Below are 23079 nucleotides of genomic sequence, written 5' to 3'. Positions count from 1 at the left end.
TGGGTGAGGTGCAGTGCCTCATGCCTGTAATCCCAGCAATTTGAGAGGCTGAGACGGGCAGATCACTTGAGGCCAGGAGTTCGAGAACAGCCTGGCCAACACGGCGAAACTCTGTCTCTATAAAGAAAGAAAACTAAGAAAAAATTTAAAAAGAAAAGCATTTTGATCTTTTCCCCCATCTCTATTAGATGGTGTGAATGTACCTGGTCTCCAAGCTTTTTGAATTGTGTCTATCAGCAATACAATTTTGAACTGAAATCCCTAACGTAAGAAATGTACACAAAACCACAGAAACTTAAAAGGACGAAATAAAATATATAAATAGATGTTCTAATATTCCCACACCCCTTGGAAGGTCATGTGTACCTGCTGTCCATGCACCCCATTTTGGAGGACACTAATGGAAGAGTAAAGGCAGTGTTGGTATCTGTAGTGTGAAGAGGCCCAGGACTGCTTCAGATGATCTCTACACCTGGAATCTGACCTGAAATAAGCTCTGATCTGAAATCAGATCTGAAATCTGTAATTAAGAATCTGACTTAATTTATGTTTGACTGCTGGTGGCTTTTAAGCCTTATCCCACCCCTCGTCCCCTTATGCCCTACACCTCTGGCAAGCTAAGAAAGCCTGGGTGCTCGCCAGACATGGTGGCCCATGCCTGTAATCCCAGCACTTTGGGAGGCCGAGGCAGGAAGATGACTTGAGCCCAGCCTGGGCAACATAGTGAGACACCATCTCTTTAAAAAAATAAAGCAAGCAAGCCTGGGTGTTTCCTTCTTTGATACCAGTGGGAAATTCAAACCACATGCAAGAAACATCACTCTGGCCCTACTCCCTAACCACCAAAAAACTCCAAGTCAGTCTCCTTCCCTGTTGTCAAATCCTGCTTAGGAGCTGCCCTGCTTTCCCCAGAAAGCTTCATTATGTGAGTAACAACCCTTTCATACTCTGTTGGTGTGTGTGTGGCTTCATCAGTCATTTTTTTTTTCTTTTTGAGACAGGGTCTCACTGTGTTGCCCAGGCTACAGTGCAATGAAACAATCATAGCTCACTGTAGCCTCCAACTTCTGGGCTCAAGTGATTCTCGTGCCTCAGCCTCCTGAGCAGCTGGGACAACAGGTGTGCACAACCATGCCCAGATAATTAAAAAATTTTTTTTCTTTTTTTGCAGAGATGGGGGTCTCTCTCTGTTGCCCAGGCTGGCCTTGAACTCCTGGCCTCAAGTGATCCTCCTGCCTTGGTCTCCCTAAGTACTAGGATTACAGGCGTGAGCCACTGAACTTGGCTATCAGTCTGGACATGTGAACCAAATTTTGAGTGTGGAATGCATCCTGTCTCAGTGCGGGATGGCCACAAAAAAATAGCATCCTCCTTTACAGTCCATCTACTCCTTTCTTTTCATAGCATTTAATACCACCTGACATATTATATATTTATTGTTTGTCTTCCCCACTAGACAGATCCCCAGCTTTAGTAAAGTGTTTGGTATAATCATCCGAGTGGCTACTTTGCTAGCAGTTAAAGGCACTAGTGCTACAGTCGTGAACAAGGCCCTTGCCCACATGAAGTGTACACTCCAGAGAGAAGGGTAGGTGTTCAATACATATTTGTTAAATGATAGACTATTAATATTATTTTGTCTGGAGGTAAGATATTACAAACATATCATAAATTAAATTTTTTATTCATTTTTTTGCATCAAAATAGTGCTTAAAATTGGAATTTATACTCACAAGACATAGCTAACATCCAAAGTAGACAATTAAAAAATATTATTTGAAAATTATGTACTTAGTACTGAAGACTTCCTAAATTTGCACATTAGCTAGATTGCCATTAGCACCATTAGAGAGTTGATCTTTGGCTAATGATTATTCAGGAAAATTTCAACCATTACAATCAGTGAGTATAATTTTATATTTCAGCAACGATAGTGGTCATGTTCAGCAACAGCTTCACTTACAAATTAAAGTAAGCTCACTTCAGTGTTGCACTCTGATGCTGTTTTTTTACCCCTTCTCTTGCAAATAACCAGTGAAATAAAAATTGCTTCTAACTGGCAATCGAAACAAGGGAGGAATTATGGCTAGCCAACTAGTTGCTAATGTTTGTGTTTTTTTTATTTAAGAAACATTTTAAATAATAGAGATGGGGTCTCACCATGGTGCCCAGGCTGGTTTAAACTCCTAGGCTCAGGCAATCCTCCCACTCGGCCTCCCAACATGCTGGGATCACAGGCTTCAGCCACCATGCCCGGACTGCTAATGTTTGTGAAAGGCAAATTGTAAACTTCTATGGTTTAACTTCACCAGAAGGGTAAAGGGCTCCCCACCTGCCACCTTGTTCTATAAAAAAAGTATACTCTGATTACTAGAATGGATTTTTAAAATTCAATTCAAAGATTCAATAACTATCAACATTTCTAAACACTGATTTTTCTTTTTCTCTTTTTCAAATGTTTTTTAATATCCTGCAGGTAATAACACTGATTTTTCTAATACTCAGAAACATCTACTTAGCAGTTGTGATACTAATTTGCAAAATGTAATAATGTTATACAAATATAAGATACTACTAAATACATAGTAGAAATAATTGCATGATTCCTGATATTTATATTCAAGGTATAAACATGACTGATTTCGCTGATACTACAGAATAAAAAAAATAAAGCTGCTATGTAAAAAATTAAAGAATATCTCAATTAGATATTTTTGTTCCCAATCTCTTTCAGACAGATCTATGAAATAATATAGAATATACTATCAATATGTTCTTTCATATGAAGTGAAAAAAATGGGATTTAAGTAGTGAGATAATTTCTATTTTTTACTTTTTTAAAAAAATAGACAGGGTCTTGCTATGTTGCCCAAGCTGGTCTCAAACTCCTGGGCTCCAGTGTGCTTCCTGCCTCAGCCTCCCAAAGTGCTGGGATTATAGGCATGAGCCATTGTGCCTGGCCTGTGGGATCATTTCTATTGGTTTTATATCAGTATTAATTAATAAGTCAATCAATTAATTAACCTTAATTATTTCTTTTTCTAAATAAGTATCAGCTGATTTAATCTCGCCCAATTGAATGCGTCTCTTTTGGTTGATCAATGCGATAGAGAAACTCTGCAGGTAAGAAGTATCCAAGATATTCCACTATATCTGGAGTAGTGTCATAATGGTAGTGTCCACCTTCTCCATGACGACTAAAAAAATGAGTGTGCTCCAGTCGCAAATCAAACCCCTAAGATAACAGACAAACAATATGTTAGTACTCAAATTATTGATTAGAGTTTAAGGGGGAGGGATAACTTTTTACGTTGCAATAGTTTTTATTTTTTAAATAGGTAATACATTCACATGTTCTAAATTCAAAGGGGGCAAAACGATGTATTCAGTAAAATGTATCTTCTTCTCTCTTGCCCTCACCACTCACTCCCCTTCCTAGCAGGTAACCAGTGTAAGCATTTTCTTGTATATCCTTCCATAAATACTTACTTTTATTTTTACTCAAATGTAGTATTTTGTACACACTTTTCTGCATGTAACTTTTTTTCATGTAACAATATAGTTTTGAGATCTTTGTATATGAAATCATAAAAGAGCTTCCTCATTCTTTTATACCTGCATGGTATTCTATTGCGTATGTAACTTCTCAACTGACACTTGCATTATTTCTAATTCTTTTGCTACTACAACAATACTGTAATAATAACCTTTTAACTAGTAATTTTACACAATTATGCATATATTTAAGTATAATATCCTAGGCATGTAATCACTGGATCAAGATATGACCAGGGTAGGCGGAGTAGCTCATGCCTGTAATCCCACCACTTTGGGAGGCTGAGGCGGGCGGATCACTTGAGGTCAGGAGCTCGAGACCAGCCTGGTCAACATGGCGAAACCCTGTCTCTACTGAAAATACAAAAATTAGCCGGGTGTGGTGGTGAGTACCGGTAATCCCAGCTACTCAGGAGGGTGAGGCAGGAGAACCACATGAACCCAAGAGGCGGAGGTTGCAGTGAGCCGAGATTGCATCACTGCACTCCAGCCTGGGCAACAGAGCGAGACTCTGTCACAAAAAATAAAAAAAAGAGAAGATATGACCAATATTTTAGTAGGTATTTGCTTTGAATTGGTCTGTAATATTTTTTCTAGCGTATAGTATTATAATATAATGAACACCAAACAAGATGACAGGAGACCTGAATCCTAGTTGTGACTCTACTAATTGTTTTTTTTGAGATGGGGATTATACTGTTACCCAGGCTGGTCTCAAACTTCTGGGTTCAAGTCAGCCTCCTCAGTAGCTAAGAATACTGGGGCATGTGACCATGCCCAACTACACCTGCTATTTAATAAAATAATTTTGGGTGTTATTTAAAATGCTTGTGCCTTCATTTTCTCAAAGGTAAAATCTGCTCTGCCTAACTCATAGGATGGTGAAGAGCTCCCTTATCTTCCAAAATAATTCTAGAGGCTACCCTCATTCTTAAATAACAACAACACATGGCCGGGCATGGTGGCTCATGCTTGTAATCCCAACACTTTGGGAGGCAGAGGTGGGTGGATCACCTGAGGTCAGTGGTTTGAGACCAGCCTGACCAACGTGGTGAAACCCCGTCTACTAAATATACAAAAATTAGCCAGGCATGGTGGCAGATGCCTATAATCCCAGCTACCCGGGAGGCTGAGGCAGGAGAATCGCTTGAACCCAGGAGGCGGAGGTTGCAGTAAGCTGAGATCCTGCCATTGCACTCTAGCCTGGGCAACAAGAGTGAAACTCTGTCTCAAAACAACAACAACAACAAACACAAAAGTGCCTAGTTCTTAAAGATTATCCTAAAAATCAAGCATTATCATTGTAGTATAATATAAAAAACAGACACAGACTTACTGGGTCTCTGGAGACAAAAACTGGTAGACAAACCAAAGGAGCTTTCATTTCATAAAAATGCAACCATTTATTCACTTCTTCATCAGAGTTCAAGGGGCAGGAAGAAAATTCTGCAGGCTACAACAAAAGATAATTACATAGGTAAACATACTGAATATTACTAAGAATTAAAAATTTTAAAAATATATTTTACTTATTTATTATTATTGTTTAATTATACTTGAAGTTCTGGGTTACATGTGTAGAACATGCAGTTTTGTTATATAGGTATACACGTACCCTGGTGGTTTGCTGCACCCATCAACCTGTCACCTACATTAGGTATTTCTCCTAATGCTATCCCTCCCCTAGTCCCCCACTCCCCGAAAGGCCCCGGTGTGTGATGTTCCCCTCCCTGTGTCCATGTGTTCCCATTGTTCAACAACCCACTTATGAGTGAGAACATGGGGTGTTTGGTTTTCTGATCTTGTGATAGTTTGCTGAGAATGATGGTTTCCAGCTTCATCCATGTCCCTGAAAAGGACATAAATTCATCCTTTTTTATGGCTGCATAGTATTCCATGGTGTATATGTACCACATTTTCTTAATCCAGTCATTTGAGTTGGTTCCAAGTCTTTGCTATTGTGAATAGTGCTGCAATAAACATATGTGTGCGTGTATCTTTATCACAGAATGATTTATAATCCTTTGGGTATATGCCCAGTAATGGGATTGCCGGGTCAAATGGTATTTCCAGTTCTAGATCCTTGAGGAATCACCACACTGACTTCCACAATGGTTGAACTAATTTACACTCCCACCAACAGTGTAAAAGCATTCCTATTTTTCCACAACCTCTCCAGCATCTGTTGTTTCCTGACAGGGTCTGGCTCTGTCACCCAGGCTGGAGTGCAGTGGGATGATCACAGTGGGCCTGGAAAAAGCACCACAAGTTTCCACTCTGGTGTGTGGGATTGGCAGCTGGGCCCCCAGCCTTCAGGCCTTCCCTGGCCCGAAAGTGGGGCCTCACCGGAAACCCGCCCCCTTCTGCCCCGGAACCTGTCTGCCTCCTGCTGCCGATCACGGAATCCAGGCTGTAGGTGCCAAGGGGTGCCTGAAGGCCAGTGGGGAGCTGCTCTCAGCCGCCGCTCAGCTTCCCTTCTACGCTCGTGTCAGCGCCCCAAATCCAGAAGGGGCCGGGACGGCAGGGGGCTGGTGTGTCAGCAGTGCCCTGAGCGTGTGCACACCTGGCTGGGCTGCGACAGCGACCGGGCTCTGCCTGACTTTGCTCCTGGATCGGAGCAGGCGCCGACAGCAGGGAGAAGCCAGGCAGTGGGAGCAGGCATTTCCAAGCCTGTAAGAGCAGTGGGGGCCTTCCCAGACCCCCAAGAATGCAGGAATGCCTGGGTCCGCAGCCACGGTTTGGGCAGCTGCAGCTGTGTGGAGAAGGCAGGGCTCCTGCCTGCTCCGTGGAGCGGGAGACCCAGGTCTGCAGCCGCGGGTTTGAGCTGCTGCAGCTGCGCCTGGGCAGTTGGGGCTCTCGCCTGTTCCCACTGGGAGAGCACAGGGATGCCAGGGACTACAGCCATGGCTTGGGCGATTGCAGCGGCACCAACGGAGCTCCAGCGCCAACTCGGAAGGGGCAGGACTCCCACCTGTCTTCAGCTCCCACCCGCTCCATAGAGTGTGTAGCCTCAGCCGTGCCTCCCTGCTGCAGCCGCTCCAGAGAGCCTGCCGCTGCCATCATCACTATGTTGACCAGGCTGGTTTTGAATTCCTGGCCTCCAGCGGTCCTCCCACCTGGGCCTCCCAAAGTGCTGGGATTACAGGCATGAGTCACTCTGCAGGCCTTGAATTTATCTTGATCTTAAAAACAAACATATCCAAAATAAAGTTCTAATATACTAACATGGACAAAGATATTATCTTACAATCTGATTTATAAAATTATCATTTAAATTTTAAAGTAATACAATCATAATAAAAAGGATTTGTTTAAAGTGTCTTCAAATGTAGAATTCCCAACACATACTTTACAATCCTAAGATCTGGCCCGGTGCAGCGTCTCACGTCTGTAATCTCAGCACTTTGGGAGGCCGAGACAGGTGGATCAGCTGAGGTCAGGAGTTCGACACCAGTCTGGCCAATGTGGCAAAACCTTGTCTCTACTAAAACTACAAAATGAGCCGGTTGTGATGCTGCATGCCTATAATCCCAGCTACTCAGTAGGCTGAGGCAGGAGAACCCCTTGAATCCGGGAGATGGAGGTTGCAGTGAGCCAAGATTGTGCCACTACACTCCAGCATGGGCAACAGAGCAAGGATCCGTTTAAAAAAAAAAAAAAATCCTAAGATCTTAAGTAAGTGCACACACACAAACTCCTTCATGCATGTATGCACACATGGGCTCTTACCATAATGTGAGACTTCACTTTTCCCTTCTGAATTATGAAAGTACCTCCCATTCCTATAGGCTTATTTCCATAATGTTTTTCCAGGGTCTCTCTCATACAAGTCACAAAGTTAAGTGGTCCAGTTCTTCTTTTGGCTTTCACCTCAATTACCTATAGAGGACATAAAGATGCATACCATTGACTATGCTGCAAAATAACTACTGAAATAAAACATTATATAATTTAATTCTATCAAGCAAATATTCTGTTCTTTGCTTAGAGCCCCCAGATCTGAGTTGAGATGTTGCAATCCCGTGAATTTTGATCAGTCATATATATATGTATGCACACACACACACACATACTTATCAGTTACATGTAATTTACTAGTAAGTCTTAAGCATGCTTTCTTGAACTGAGAAACTGAGAAAGACAAGTTTCTCAGTGCAGAGAGTCTAGAGACTCTTAACATACGTGTCGAGGCAGTCAAAGATTGAGAATTACCTTTGGTAATTCTTTGGTTAAAGGAATTAACCTTTGGTAAGTGGGGATGAGGAGAAAATGATTACATTTTCTCACTTCCCTTAAAATTCTGTATTATCTCCACAACTTGGACGTTAAGTATTTTCACTTCTCAATCTCTTATCTCAAAGTAGCTGAAGAGGCTATCTCTACTTCCAAAACTGGAGAGTCTTCACAAAAGCTAACACTGAAATCATATTTTTGTGTACTAATAGGAAGTAAATATCAAGTAAGGCATTAGTTTTCCTTACTTTGTTCTTGCTGTAAGTTTTTGCTACCACCATTTCTATCTAGAGCAATGTGTGATTCATCAGAAAGAAGCAAATAACCTATTTACTACCTGTAAGTAGGCATTATTTATTTTAGCTGTATGGTTCATGTAGATGACAAACTCACTCCCCAAATTAATATTCTATTACCTTTTAGTTCTCAGAAAAAGGTCTTGCTTACTAAGTAGTCTTTTTTTTTTTTTTTTAAGACAGGTCTTGCTGTCACCTAGGTAGGAGTGCAGTGGTGTGATCATAGCTCGTTGCGGCCTCAAACACCTGGGCACAAGGGATCCTCCTGCATCAGCCTCCTGAGTAGCTAGGACTATAGGCATGTACCACCACACCTGGCTAATTAAAAAAAAAAATTTTTTTTTTTTTTTTTTGACAGGGTCTTGCCATGTTGCCCAGGCTGGTCTGAAACTGCCAGCCTTAAGTGATCCTCCAGCTTTGGCCTCTCAAAGGACTGGAATTATAGGCATAAGCCATTGTGCCAGCCATACTATTCTTTTTTTTTTTTTTTTTTTTTTTGGAGACAGAGTCTTGCTTTGTTGCCCAGGCTGGAGTGCAATGGTGCAATCTTGGCTCACTGCAACCTCTGTCTCCCAGGTTCAAGCAATTCTCCTGCCTCAGCCTCCCAAGTAGCTGGGACTACAGGCATGTGCCACCTTCCCTGTCTAATTTTTGTATTTTTAGTAGAGACGAGGTTTCGCTATGTTGGCCAGACTGGTCTCAAATGCTTGACCTCAGGTGATCTACCCACCTTGGCCTCCCAAAATGCTTGGGAATACAGGCGTGAGCCACCGCGTCTGGCCTCCAGCCATATTATTCTTAACCTTAAAGATGACTTTTGCTCTGCCTGTCATACTCTCTGAACCTTTCATTACTGGGTTATTTAAAGAGCTTTGACTTAGGAAGCTCTAATTTTCTTTTTTTTTTTTTTTTTGAGACAGAGTCTCACTCAGTGGCCCAGACTGGAGGGTAGTAGCATGATCTTGGCTCACTGCAACCTCTGCCTTCCGAGTCTGAGCGATTCTCTCACCTCAGCCCCCCCGAGTAGCTGGGATTACAGGCACACACCACCACACCCTGCTAATTTTTGTATTTTTTGGTACAGATGGGGTTTCACCATGTTGACCAGGCTGGTCTTGAACTCCTGACCTCAAGTTGACCTCAAGTTATCCACCCAGCTTGGCCTCCCAAAGTGGGAAACTAATTTTCTTAGCAAAACCATATTTATGGCAGTAAAAGTTCACATTTTTAGCTTTCTGAGAACATTTAGGGAATATTGTATTTTTATGGACACAATCACCTTGCCAGGTTGGCCTTCACTGGCAAAAAGATTAGCCAGTAATGCACACTGAAAATCATGACATTTCTCACTGTATTTCTCCAGTAGGCACCCTCCATCTGCAGGGTTCACATGGGCAAAGTAACTTCCATTTACAGGAGGCTTGTGTTCACTTTCTGTCTGAATAACTGGCATAAACTGAAAAGAAAGTGAGGCAATTAGTCAATCTTTGTATCTCTGCAAAGAGAATATCTTGAATAATGTTACAAAACATTTAATCCTTTTAAGACATTTTAGTTCAAGTCCTAATAAGAGAACATAAAATACATAATATTTAATTTTAGACATAAAAAACTTGGAAAACATTTATAGGCCGGGCGCTGTGGCTCATGCCTGTAATCCCAGCACTTTGGGAGGCCAAGGGGGGCGGATCACGAGGTCAAGAGAAGAGATCAAGACCATCCTGGCCAACATGGTGAAAACCTGTCTCTACTAAAAATACAAAAATTAGCTGGGCGTGGTGGCACACACCTGTAGTCCCAGCTACTCAAGAGGCTGAGGCAAGAGAATTGCTTGAACCTGGGAGGTGGAGGTTGCAGTGAGCCAAGATCGCGCCACTGCACTCCAGCATGGCGACAGAGCGAGACTCCATCTCAAAAAAAAAAAAAAAAAAAAAAAAGATATTTATTGGATTTCTTACAGTGTATCTATAACTTGCGTTAAATATCTTATTTTAAATTTTTAACTTTTTTTCCTAACTTGAACACTAGGCAAATTGTACTAATGTTTCTGCAAAGAACTTGTATGACTACTATTCATATCTGAAGAGGTTATGAGAGAATGAGCAGACTGAAGTCTTGTATTCATGAGATTCAAAGAAACAGTAATATTTTCATATGGTAATAATATATACTAGTAATAACTATTAACTTTCATAAATAACCATCATACTATTGTGATAGTTTCCTACTATTTGGTGTGGAAGAAGGAGTTGACTAGATCACTAATATTCCATTCATCTTCTAATCCAAAGCTGCCTGCATACCCAAAGCAAAGATTTATAGATAAGCTCGGAATCCTGTAAGAATATAAATATTTTATAATCCAGAACCTTCAACAGAATACCATAGAACCCTGCATTTATCTAAGGCTGAAGCTATGACCTAAGAAAATCTAAAACTACAAGTTAGTACTCCATTACAGTTAGTCCAGTTGGAGTGTGTGCTATAGCAGAAATCTACATCAAGTAGTATCAAACCTGCAGAGAGATTTACAATTCACTCAGAAAGTAGGATTTTTGGCACTAAAAGCAAAAAGACAAACCAAATGTCAAACCAATAAAGTAAAATAATTTTCTTATATATGCTGACCTCAGAATTGAACCCGAGAGTCTGAAATGGACCTGCTCCTGCTCCAAGAATAAAGGCTCCAGGCAGCTTGATTTCTTTTGCAATTTTATTCAGATCATAAACCTATAGAAGAGGAAAAAATATTATTTAAGTCACAACTTGTACAAAGTCCCTGGTTTACCTTTTATTACTGATCCATTAGCACTTCCTTGCCAACTGATCAACAGGTCTTCTAATAATAAACACAGTAATCAACCCAACTTCTACAATCTTCATGTGAATATGCAGAGTAAAAGTACTTACTTTTTTTTGGTTTACAAGAGGCAATAAGTAAGGCACACCTCCAACTTCTGCAATTCTAGTTTTCCCACAGATGCCTAAGAAAAAACCAAAAAACAAAAACACAAGCCACCTTAAAAACAGGCAAACATCTAATTTAATAATAAAATGCCAACAGTATATAACTTCTCCATTATCATAAAGTTTTACAAATAACAGGGATTGGAAGACATAGTGGCTAGAACCCCTGTCCTATTTTAAGTACCTGTGTCTCTAATAATCATCATAACCAAGCATGGCTTATAAAGTTGGTGGCATAAAGGCAATACAAGGCAAGGGCAAGGGTTAGAACTGGGGCCAAAGTTTGGATTGGGTAAGGTTTCTAGAATGTCTTTGACGCCTTATTTCTTTAAAAAAAATCTATTTTGGGGTGGTTTTCCTTTTTTTGGCTAAAATTGTTTCTTGTTTTTTAATTTAAAATATTTTGCTCTGGTACAATGTAAATTCTCAGATGGTGGCTCACGCCTGCAATCCCAGCACTTTGGGAGGCTGAGGCGGGTGGATCACCTGAAGTCAGGAGTTCGAGACCAGCCTGGCCAACATGGTGAATCTCTACTAAAAATAGAAAAATTAGCTGGGCATGGTGGCGGGAGCCTATAATCCCAGCTACCAAGGAGGCTGGGGCAGGAGGATTGCTTGAACCCGGCGGGGGCAGAGGTTGCAGTGAGCCAAGATTGTGCTACTGTATTCCAGCCTGGGCAACAGAGCAAGACTCTGTCTCAAAAAACAAAACATCACGAGGTCAGGAGATCGCGACCATCCTGGCTAACACGGTGAAACCCCATCTTTACCAAAAATACAAAAAATTAGCCGGGCGTACTACTCAGGAGGCTGGGTGTACTACTCAGGAGGCTGAGGCAGGAGAATGGTGTGAACCTGGGAGGCAGAGCTGGCAGTGAGCCGAGATCGCGCCACTGCACTCCAGCCTGGGTGACAGAGCGAGACTCCGTCTCAAAAAAAAAAAAAAAAAAAACCCAGAGAGATCTAGGTGAGATGTACAAATTTCAAAGTTATATTCAGGTAGTAATTAAAACCATAAGAGTGGATTTAAAAAATACCCAGATAGATTACTAGAAATAAGAAGAGGCTAAGGAAAGAATTCTGGAAAAGATCAATATTTAAGAGACTATTAGAAAGAAAAAGGAACCAGGAAAATATGGAAGAAAAGAGGAAGGAAAGGCACAAAGGAAGAACAGGTGAAACAAGGATAGAGAAGATAGAACCTAGGGGAGAATGTCAGGCAGCAATGGCCAAGCAGTATGAAATACGTGGAGAGGTTAAATAGTACTAGTAAACATTTTAAGGTCACTGGTGATCTTAGCAAGACCAGTTCATGTAGAAAATGTCTAACACACCACTGCATCCAGCTAATTTTTGTACTTTTAGTAGAGATTGGGTTTCACCATGTTGGCCAGTTTGGTCTTAAACTCCTATGTTTATGAAAGATCATACATACACATATTAGATGCATATCTGGCTTCTAGTATTGCAATTTAAAGACTCACAAATTACTGACCAGAAAACACTTCTTCCAAGCATAACTCTGCATGACAAAATTAAGACTAACCATTTTGGCTGGGCATGATGGCTCACACCTGTAATCCCAGCACTTTGGGAGGCCGAGGCGGGCACATCACTTGAGACTGGGAGTTCGAGATCAGCCTGGCCAACATGATGAAACCCCGTCTCTACTAAAAATACAAAAATTAGCCAGGTGTCGTGGTGCACACCTGTAATCCTAGCTACTTGGGAGGGTGAGGTATGAGAATCGCCTGAACCCGGGAGGCAGAGATTGCAGTGAGCCAAGATTGTGCCACTGTACTCCACACTCCAGTCTGGGCGACAGAGCGAGATTCCATCTCACACACACACACACAAAAAAAAAAAAAAAAAAAAAAAGATTAACCATTTTTCCTTCTTTCTTGTACTCTTCTGTCTCCTGACCTTTATTTAATTTTAGTTAATTACTTAATTAGCAGGGGAAATACATTACACTCATATTTTTAAAAAAATCAAGGCTGGGCGTGGTGGCTCACGCCTGTAATCTCAGCACTTTGGAAGGCCGAGGTGGGCGGATCACGAGGTCAGGAGATCGAGACCATCCTGGCTAACACGGTGAAACCCTGTCTCTACTAAAAATACAAAAAATTAGCCAGGCGTGGTGGCACATGCCTGTAGTCTCAGCTACTCAGGAGGCTGAGGCTGGAGAATCGCTTGAACCTGGGAGGCAGAGGTTGCAGTGAGCTGAGATTGCGCCACTGAACTCCAGCCTGGTGACAGAGTGAGACTCTGTCTCAAAAAAAAAAAAAAAAAAAAAAAACTATAAAAAAGTACTATGCTAAATCCTTTGAAGAAGCTAAAAGAAATTGCCACATGGTACACAAGCCTTCTAGAATTTACAGCTCTACTTAAAATCAAAGATTGTTTAAGCTGTAAAGGCCCCCAAAAAACATTCAATTCAAATCCCCTCATGCTAATGTTATCTCAAAGTCAGGTTTGTTCTAAGACAGAACTAGAGTCCAGAATTTCTATGGCAAACTCCTTTTTAGCAAAGATGTTAATTACATAATAAAAAGAACACTTTGAGTGTTTATCCTCAAATTCCTCATCATAATAGGGTATAACAGGAGGGGGTTAGACTTTGGAAACAGACTTGCATTTGAATCCTGGTTATGATTTACACTGAGCTTATCTAGCCTCTCTCGTTTTCAGTTTTCTCATCTATAAACAAGGGCTACTACTTACCTTGTGGTGTTATTGTAAAAACTGAAACATCAACTAACTATCTATCATACTGACAAATTATTTTATTCTTCTAATACTAATTTCCCTTCCTTCTCACTTCAAACAGTGGATGCTCACTTGGCAAATTTGTTGAAGGATTAGTTTTAACAGATCATTCAAATACAAGGCTTTTAGGATCCCTTCTGGTCTTGAATAAATAAAATCATAAAAATTAAAATCAGTTTCCATAACAGTCTGAGCAATTAAAAGCAAAACTCTCGTGTGATACAAAGAATTCTAACCTATTGGATATCTATTCTACAATCTGTGAAGGTTACATAAGTGAATAAAACACAATCCTTTTCCACAAGAGTATGAAATGAAATTTAACCAATATCAGAAGAGTGAGCACAGAAATTTGGCACAATTTAGCCTAAATGTTGTGACAATATCCTTTATTTGTAGATAATTTAAGATGTCCTTAAAAATAATTCTAGTTTCAGAAAAAGATTATGACTAAAAAACAAAAGCTAATTGCAAAAATTGCTTACCTTTTACAGGAAAGGTAAAGGGTTCCTTAGTCAAATCAGGGCAATCAACTACAGAGACCTGGACATCAGCAAAGTTATCTTTTAACCCCTTCTGCATAACTAATAAAGACAAGGAATAAGATTATTTAACATTAGGTAAAAACTTGGCTACCACGTATCAAAAGTGGTATGTGGCTCTCAACACACTCCCAATCTCAACTTGTATAATAAAAAAGAAGGGGGAAATGGTCTTATTAATGAATATAATTAGACATTAGACATAATCACAAGATACAACGTAGACTAAGATATATAAATACTTCCTCTACAGTGATTTTCAACTGTTGAAGATAAACAGCCTGCACTTGTGTGAGGGTGAGGATTACCTTCTTTTTTGAGAGAAGATTCCAAAAACCAACTGAAATGCAAACATTTAAACTTTTTAAAAAGTAAGCAATCACATGTAACAACTTCAGTGAAGGTAACAGACAATATGTTGAACAAAGCAGCCAGACACAAAACACTACATACAATATTACTTCACCTTATGCATCTCAGAAACAGGCAATGGATCAAGGCTGACTGGGAAGGTGTGCAAAGGAGCCTTCTGGGATGTTGGAAATATTTTACATTTTGATCTGGATAGTAGTTACATAGGTGTAACTATTGTTAACATTCATCAAGCTGTACACTCAAGATTAGCATACTTTACTGTAGATAGTTATACCTCAGTAACAATGTAAAAAAGCATAGGTGTCTCAAAGTTATTAATGTAAGACCAATGTATTTCCCTCTCTCTTTTTTTCTTTTATATGTAGAGACCAGGTCTTGCTATATTGCCCAGGCTGGTCTCGAACTCCTGGACTCATGTGATCTTCCTGCCTTGGGTCCCCCAAAGTGCTGGGATTACAATGAGCCATCACACCTAGCCTCAACAGTTTTTTTTTTTTTTTTTTTTTTTGAGACAGAGTCTCACTCTGATAGCCTTACCTACCCTGTCGCCCAGACTGGAGTGCAGTGGTATGCAGCATGATCTTGGCTCACTCAGCCTTGATCTCCAGGCTCAAGTAATCCTCCCACCTCAAACTCCCCAGTAGCTGGGACTACAGGTGGATGCCACCATGATTGGCTAATTTTTGTATTTTCTGTAAAAATGGGGTTTTGGCTTGTTGCCCAGGTGGCTCTCAAACTCCTGGGCTTAAGAGATCTGCTCACCTTGGCCTCCCAAAATGCTGGAATTATAGGCATGAGCCACTGCATCAGCCTATGTACTTTTAAGGATCAAAAGTTCTTACAAAATGTCTTTTTTTTTTTTTTTTTTTGAGATGGAGTCTCACCCTGTCACCCAGGCTGGAGTACAATGGCGCAATCTCGGCTTACTGCAACCTCTGCTTCCCAGGTTCACGCCATTCTCCTGCCTCAGCCTCCCGAGTAGCTGGGGTTACAGGCGCCCGCCACCACACCCAGCTATTTTTTCTATTTTTAGTAGAGACAGGGTTTCACCATGTTGGCCAGGCTGGTCTTGAACTCCTGACCTCGTGATCTGCCTGCCTCAGCCTCCCAAAGTGCCGGGATTACAGGCATGAGCCACCGCACCTTGCCAATTTCTTTCTTTCTTTTTTTTTTTTTTGAGACTGAGTCTCGTGTTGTTGCCCAGGTCGAAGTACAGTGGCGCGATCTTGGCTCAACGTAACTTCTGCCTCCCAGGTTCAAGTGATTCTTGTAGCTCAGACTCCTGAATAGCGGGAATTACTGGCACACACCACCACACTCAGCTAATTTTTGTATTTTTAGTAGAGATGGGGTTTTGCCATGTTGGCCAGGCTGGTCTTGAACTCCTGACCTCAAGTGATCTGTCCACCTTGGCCTCCTAAAGTATTGAGATTACAGGCATGAGCCACTGTGCCAGGCCATAAAATTTCTACTTTTTCTGAATATATCCTGCACATATAGAAGGAAAATAGAAACAAACACAAAAGTGAAAACAGATTCTAGAAAAGCAATCAAAGAAAAAATCTGGCCAAGCATGGTGGCTCATGCCTGTAATCCCAACACTTTGGGTGGCCGAGGCAGGAGCATCGAGTGAGGCCAGGAGTTCAAGAGCATCCTGGGCAACAGAGCAAGATCCTATGTCTACAAAAAGAAAAAAGAAAAAGAAAAAATTCCTAACTGCCCTGTCATATTAGGGAAGACAGACTGATGAAAAAGAAATACAGGCCAAACAATACAGATTGTTTATTAGCTACCATTCAATTAGGGAAAAAAAAAAAGATTATAAGAGGAAAGTTACAACAAAGCAAAAATGAGTCTATTTCTTAACTTCAATCTTATCAGGATGACAAATGAACTACCAGAACATCACATTTTGAGAAACAAGCGAAGGTTCTATAGTTACCATTAGAACAGAACCTAGAGGTTGTTAAATAAAGGTTAGTATTCTGACAGACTTTACAGTTTTGGATAACAACTATTCCTGGCTTCATTTTTGTACTCGTTTTTGTTTTCCTTTTTTTGACTATCTTCCCTCCTAATTTATCTTGGGAAACTGCCTTAAATCAAAGCAAGTTCACTGGCAGTCTGTCATTATCAGTGGTGGGGGGGAATTATATTGGGAATATGATTAACATACAACAGTAGAGTATACATTTAAAGAATAATGTAAGTGAAAAAAGTTAAAGCAAAATTTTGCGACTCTTTGGGCATCACACATGCTTAAGTCTTGGATTACTAATCATTTACATCTTGTAAAGTTGGTATCATCAATAATCTATAAGTGAAAGAAAAAAGAATTTATAAATTATAATTTTAGTTTTTTTAGACAGAATTTGGACTTTCTCAATAAAAATGGGACAGAACAGATACTGAAATGGAAAATGAATTCTGTACCAAAAGTATTATTTTGATAAGTAAGATATAGATATACATAAGTAGTAAGATATAGATAGATCTTAGAATCTTTTTAAAAGAATTTTCTCTTGGGATAATTTTTAAAAATCCAAAGTTAATATTGTTTTTACCTCCAGCAAGCTCTTCAAGACTTGGTACATGAAAAGAAAACTCAGCACAAGCCATTTTCTTTCTTCTTTAGGTGTGAGGTTGGACAAATAGAGCTACTCTTGGTTAATTATCACAAGAGTCCACAGCGCACCAAGTATGAACAGTTTCTGTTCTGGAAATGAACATTGAGCATTCAAACATATAAACAGAACAAAAGGGCATTTAGGTTTCTATCTTCATAAACAGGCAAACACAGCTTCCAGCATTTAATATTCCAAGTGAGAAATAGACAAGTGGCCTTTTAATACTTACACTTTATTTTATTGTAATTTAAAATTTAAAACTAATTTTTTAATAGAAACAAGGTGTTACTATGTTGCCCAGGCTGGTCTTGAATTCCTGGCCTCAAGCCATCCTCTGCCTCCCAAAATGCTGGGATTACAAGTGTGAGCCACTGCTCCCAGCTGATTCATTTTTTTTTTAAATATCATATAGCTGGAGTGAACATCCAATTTTCTAATGGTGGGTCTAAGGAATATAGGTCTTGAAGCAAAAGGTACTTATTAGGGGTTTATGGATAAGTGTTCAAATGGTTGTAGATAACAGTACATATAGGATTTGTATAGTACATATAGGATCTCAAGTATTTCTGTAATAGATATGTGTGTTTTTTATTCTATATTTCACATTTAGGCCAAAAATTAAATGAGTTCCTTAGACTATCACTTTTTCAAAATAAAATTTAAATTACGAATAGAAATGGAAACTTTTATGGAATGATTAGCCTTTGAAATTCAAATTTTTATTTTCATTTACAAATAAACATACTTTCTTGGTAAATAGATTTAATGTTCAATTCTGATAATCTATCCAATTATAATTTGATATTTAAATATATGCTTTTCTATCATTGCAACTAAAAAATAAAATATATGCCAAGTATACTTTGTAACAAATAAGTGCACATACACAGAGATTAGTATCTTACCTTAAGTGTTCAGTGATGAAGTATGCAACCAGAGGGAGATAAAATGAAGACAGGGAAAAATATAAGTAATATGAGGTAGACAGGTATCCTACTCCAAGCCAATCACAACAGGGAACACAGACAAGACTCTTAAGGGTGTTTCTAAGAGTACTGCAGGAGTTCTCGTTAAAACTGTTAATAGAACACTTCATTAATCTGAGTGGCCTCTGCCCTTAACATGCCTATTTAGCAAGTGGAACGGTGATCTTCAGCCATTTGAAATATTCTTCCAAATTTTTTTTTCTAATTTTCCAAAGATTCACAGGTTGCTTAGAAACTGGGTTTCTAGTTCTGGTACTTTCCAACAACATATCCTCTATAATCATTCTATTGCAAACATTTAGGATGTTATATTTACTTTAGTACTTTATCAAATACCAGCTTTTATTGTTCTTGATTTAATACATGTAATCTAATCTCCCAAATATATATAACTGTTTATTAACGGTCCCAAATTTTTGAGACGGAGTCTCGCTGTGTCACCCAGGCTGGAGTGCAATGGCATGATCTCGGCTCACTGCAACCTCCGCCTCCCAGGTTCAAGAAATTCTCCTGTCTCATCCTCCCCAGTAGCTGGGATTACAGGCATGTGCCATCATGCCCGGCTAATTTTTTGTATTTTAGTAGAGACGGGGTTTCACCATGTTGCCCAGGTTGGTCTCAAACTCCTGAGCTCAAGCAATCCACTTGCCTCGGCCTCCCAAAGTGCTAGGATTACAGGCGTGAGCCACTGCACCCGGCCCCCAAATCTTATATAATCATACTTAAATTATTTTAAACATAGTTTTGTGTGGGGAAAAGAGAGCTCAGACTGTTACTGTGTCTATGTGGAAAAGGAAGACAAAAGAAACTCCGTTTTGATCTGCACAAAGAAAAATTGTTTTGCTTTGAGATGCTGTTAATCTGTAACTTTAGCCCCAACCCTGTGCTTACAGAAACATGTGCTGTATTGAATCAAGGTTTAAGGGATTTAGGGCTGTGCAGGATGTGCCTTGTTAACAATATGTTTGCAGACTGTATGCTTGGTAAAAGTCATCGCCATTCTCCATTCTCTATTAACCAGGGACATGATGCACTGCAGAAAGCTGCAGGGACCTCTGCCCAAGAAAGCGTGGGTATTGTCCAAGAATTCCCCCCACTGAGACAGCCTGAGATATGGCCTCGTGGGAAGGGAAAGACCTAACCGTCCCCCAGCCTGACACCCATAAAGGGTCTGTGCTGAGAAGGATTAGTAAAAGAGGAAGGCCTCTGTTTCCCGCATATCCCTGGGAACAGAATGTCTCCGTGTAAAGCCGACTATTCGTTCTATTCTGAGATAGGAGAAAACCACCCTGTGGCTGGAGGGGAGATATGCTGGCAGCAATACTGCTCTGTTACTCTTTGCTACACTGAGATGTTTGGGTAAAGAGAAACATGAATCTAGCCTACTTACACATCTGGGCACAGTACCTTCCCTTGAACTTATTTATGACGCAGATTTCTTTACTCACATGTTTTCCTGCTGACCTTCTCCCCACCATCACCCTGTTCTCCCACCGCAGTTCCCTTGCCGAGATAGTGAAAAGTAATCAATAAATACTGAGGGAACTCAGATACCAGTGCCGGTGCAGGTCCTCGCATACTGAGTGTGCCCGTCCTCTGGGCCCACTGTTCTTTCTCTATACTTTGTGTCTTATTTATTTTCTCAGTCTCTCTTCCCACTTGACGAGAAATACCCACAGGTGTGGAGGGGCAGGCCCCCTTCAGTTTTGGGTTGAATAATTTATAATTGTTCAGGAATGAGACAGTTTAACTTTTTCTTTTAAATAATTTCAGATTGACAAATATTACATACAAATAATTCCTATACATTCTTCACCCAGATTTCCCAAATGTTAACATTTTATCACATTCTTTATCAAGCAAACATTGGGTACTAACTTATTTATGAACATGTCAAAATCTGCACAATGAATAGTATATTCATTTATAATGATAAAAACACTTTACATATTTTTGCTGGCAGTAGGAATAAGAACACAAGTTAAAATCCAAATGTAATCTTAATTTTATTCCCTTTATTATCTCTTTAGTAAAAAGTTAGGTCAGTTGTTTCCGTTTATTTATGTCCCTACCAAAGTAGAAACAAAGTCCAATCTTGGGAGGATGTAGCTTGAATAACTGGTTTAGAAATGTACTTATTAGGGGTACTTATTAGGGATTAGTGGATAAGTGCTTAAATGGTTGTGGATAACAGTGCATATAGGACTCTCAAGTATTTCTATAACAGACACTTGTGCGTTCTACTCTATATTTGACATTTAGACAAAAAAATCAAATGAGTTCCTTAGACTATCACTTTTTCATAATAAAATTTAAATTATGAAGGCCCGTCCAATTCTAAAATGATGTGAACTTCAGGCAGGCTGATGGCACAGCAGGCAGTGTGGTAGCATGTGTATGTGAGTGTTTATGTGTGTGTTGGAGGTGGGGAGAGGGTTACAGTTGGAGCTGAGAAAGGAGTTAGGTTCTCACATAAACTCCAGGAATACAGCCTTGGGCCAGATGGAGGCAAACAGTATTTTCCTGCCTAATTGGTGGGAGTCGATGGCCCAGAAATAGGGTCTAGAAGGGAAACGGAGCTGCAGAGGTTAACACCTGGAGGGGTAGACCAACTATCGCAACTAAACTGGTTACCATTTGAGTGCACACTATATACCAGACACCGTTAGACACTGTGCAGACGTTCTCTCAAAACTTTTCACAACCATGACAGGTTGTAAGACAGGCTGTGGGTCTTCAGGGGTCGCGGGCATCCCCTAGACACAGCCGCAGGGCCTGCATGGAGTTCGCTCCTACCGGCGACCAAAAGCGCTCGCTCCGGCTCCAGCATCTGCTCACCCCCACGCACCCTCCCATAAAGGGTGGAGCGCAGCAGGCCTGGGTGACTGGAGTTCGTGGCTTCCAGCACTCCAGTTCCCGCCTCATTCACTCGCGCCCCCCCTCCCGCGAGGAGTTGAGAGCCGTGGGCTAAGTAAGTGAGGCACCGCAGCCGCAAGACCCACGAAGGGGTCAGAGGAATATCCTGCTTCAACTGCACTCCAGCCTGGGTGGCAGAGCAAGACCCTGTCTCTATAACACAAACAGAGAAATACCAAATGTGGCCGGGCGCGGTGATTCACGCCTGTACTCCCAGCACTTTGGGAGGCCGAGGCAGACGGATCACTTGAGGTCAAGAGTTCGAGACCTGCCTGGCCAACATGGTGAAACCTGGTCTCTACTAAAAGTACAAAAATTAGCCGGTTGTGGTGGCGGGCGCGTGTAGTCCCAGCTACTTGGGAAGCTGAGGTGGGTGGATCTCTTGAGCCCGGGAGGTGGGGGTTGCAGTGAGCTGAGATCGGGCCACACTGCACTCCAGCCTGGGCGACAGAGCGAGACTCTGTTTCTAAAAAAAAAAAGAAAAAAGAAAAAATACAAAATGAAATGTGAAATTTCAATGATTCTGCATTAGGAGTTAAATGTTCCTTCCCTTTAATAGCACTTTTCCCCTTCTTTTTGAACAAGGGACGCTGCATTTTCATTTTGCATTGAGCCTCACAAATTACACAGCTAGGCTTGCTGCTGAATACGGCAGTGAGGGACATGCCATACCAGTCCTGGAGCTTCGTCATTGCCCAGACCCTGTGGATCAAATGCAGTGGGCTGCCTAAAGGATCGGACTTTTTATCCCCGGAATTGTCCAAACTATGGAGCAAAGCAGGTAAAGAGACCAGATTACTTTTAAGGCCCGTTCAATCCTAAAATGTGAACTATAAAATAAGACTAGACAGCTTTACTGATTTTTGTGGTTTATCATATGAAAACAGAATTTTGAAAGCGGAAAAATCAAACCAGTTCATTCCTTTTTAAAATTACTTTGGGAGGCCGAGGCGGGAGGATCACCTGAGGTCGGGAGTTTGAGACCAGCCTGACCAACATGGAGAAACCCCCGCCTCTACTAAAAATGCAAAAATTAGCTGGGCATGGTGGCGCACGCCTGTAATCTCAGCTACTGGGGAGACTGAGGCAGGAGAATCGCTTGAACCCGGGAAGCAGATGTTGCGGTGAGCCAAGATCGCACCGTTGCACTCCAGCCTGGGCAACAAGAGCGAAACTCGGTCTCAAAAAAAAAAAAATTACTTTGGGAGAAAAAAACCCCACCAAAACTAAACTAGTTTACACTGTTTAATCTTAACTCAGGAACCGGTCAAGGAACTAATGGTGTGGGGCAGGGGGGATGTAGGAGGAAACTTAGGAAAAACAAATCCTCCACAGGTCTCACTTGTGACATGTTAGCCAACTCCTGGGAGGCAGAAAGGGTGAGCTTACGAAACAGGTGCAAAAGTGGGGAGGAGACCTGGGCGTGCTATGGAATAACACTGGCGTCCAGCACAAAGGTTACACACTTCGAGTCATGGTCAAAGAATGAGCCTTCTCCAATATTTTAACACACAAGGGTTTCTGAAGGCAGAAATAGACAAAGGATTACAAAACACTCAGGCACACATCCCACCCGTCACCCTCGCCACACACCCGGGACCAGATTTAGAAAGCCAGGCGACAGCTCAGCAAACGCGAGACCACCGGAAACGAACCGGGCTGAGAGGCTGTTTCCTCACAGTTCTCATCCACTCACAAGTGACCGCACGTTTTGTTTTTGTTATTTGCCGAAATGTTCTTGGCTATTCCACTCACCTAAACGGTCACGGTAGCAAAACACCCAGAGTCCGGATCTTCGCCTAGGCCAACCCCG

General features: G+C 41.0%; 1 protein-coding gene across 22 annotated transcripts, besides 3 other annotated features; it reads right to left on the bottom strand.

The window, feature by feature from the left end:
• On the bottom strand, positions 1–23078 carry C11orf54 (chromosome 11 open reading frame 54). Of its 22 annotated transcripts, none has more exons than NM_001351986.2 (10): positions 23022–23078; positions 22609–22787; positions 17302–17448; positions 14306–14404; positions 10995–11068; positions 10713–10814; positions 9364–9540; positions 7285–7434; positions 4892–5008; positions 1–3235 (listed from the first exon to the last, which is right to left on the bottom strand). In NM_001351986.2, exons 3-10 carry the CDS (start codon positions 17354–17356, stop codon positions 3062–3064), a joined length of 948 nt encoding a protein of 315 aa, NP_001338915.1. In that variant the 5' UTR covers positions 17357–17448; positions 22609–22787; positions 23022–23078; the 3' UTR covers positions 1–3061. The 22 variants fall into 22 exon arrangements, with proteins under 22 accessions (NP_001338915.1, NP_001272996.1, NP_001338918.1 ...); NM_001286067.2 differs by having other exon boundaries at positions 17302–17453; positions 22656–22787; NM_001351989.2 differs by having other exon boundaries at positions 17302–17453; positions 22684–22787.
• Positions 21326–21865: an enhancer, noted in NCBI's record as "H3K4me1 hESC enhancer chr11:93476051-93476590 (GRCh37/hg19 assembly coordinates)". NCBI's record gives its function as "activates a minimal SCP1, AML or CMV promoter by ChIP-STARR-seq in primed H9 embryonic stem cells {active_cell/tissue: H9 hESC(primed)}" and the evidence as "EXISTENCE:reporter gene assay evidence [ECO:0000049][PMID:30033119]".
• Positions 22272–22957: an enhancer, noted in NCBI's record as "NANOG-H3K27ac-H3K4me1 hESC enhancer chr11:93474959-93475644 (GRCh37/hg19 assembly coordinates)". NCBI's record gives its function as "activates a minimal SCP1, AML or CMV promoter by ChIP-STARR-seq in primed H9 embryonic stem cells {active_cell/tissue: H9 hESC(primed)}" and the evidence as "EXISTENCE:reporter gene assay evidence [ECO:0000049][PMID:30033119]".
• Positions 22386–22505: an enhancer, noted in NCBI's record as "active region_5399". NCBI's record gives its function as "activates an Ori minimal core promoter by ATAC-STARR-seq in GM12878 lymphoblastoid cells {active_cell/tissue: GM12878}" and the evidence as "EXISTENCE:reporter gene assay evidence [ECO:0000049][PMID:35858748]".

This window comes from Homo sapiens, chromosome 11, assembly GCF_000001405.40.
Source record: "Homo sapiens chromosome 11, GRCh38.p14 Primary Assembly".
In the NCBI taxonomy this organism is placed as follows: domain Eukaryota; kingdom Metazoa; phylum Chordata; class Mammalia; order Primates; family Hominidae; genus Homo; species Homo sapiens.
This window is presented reverse-complemented; position numbering and strand designations above follow the sequence as displayed.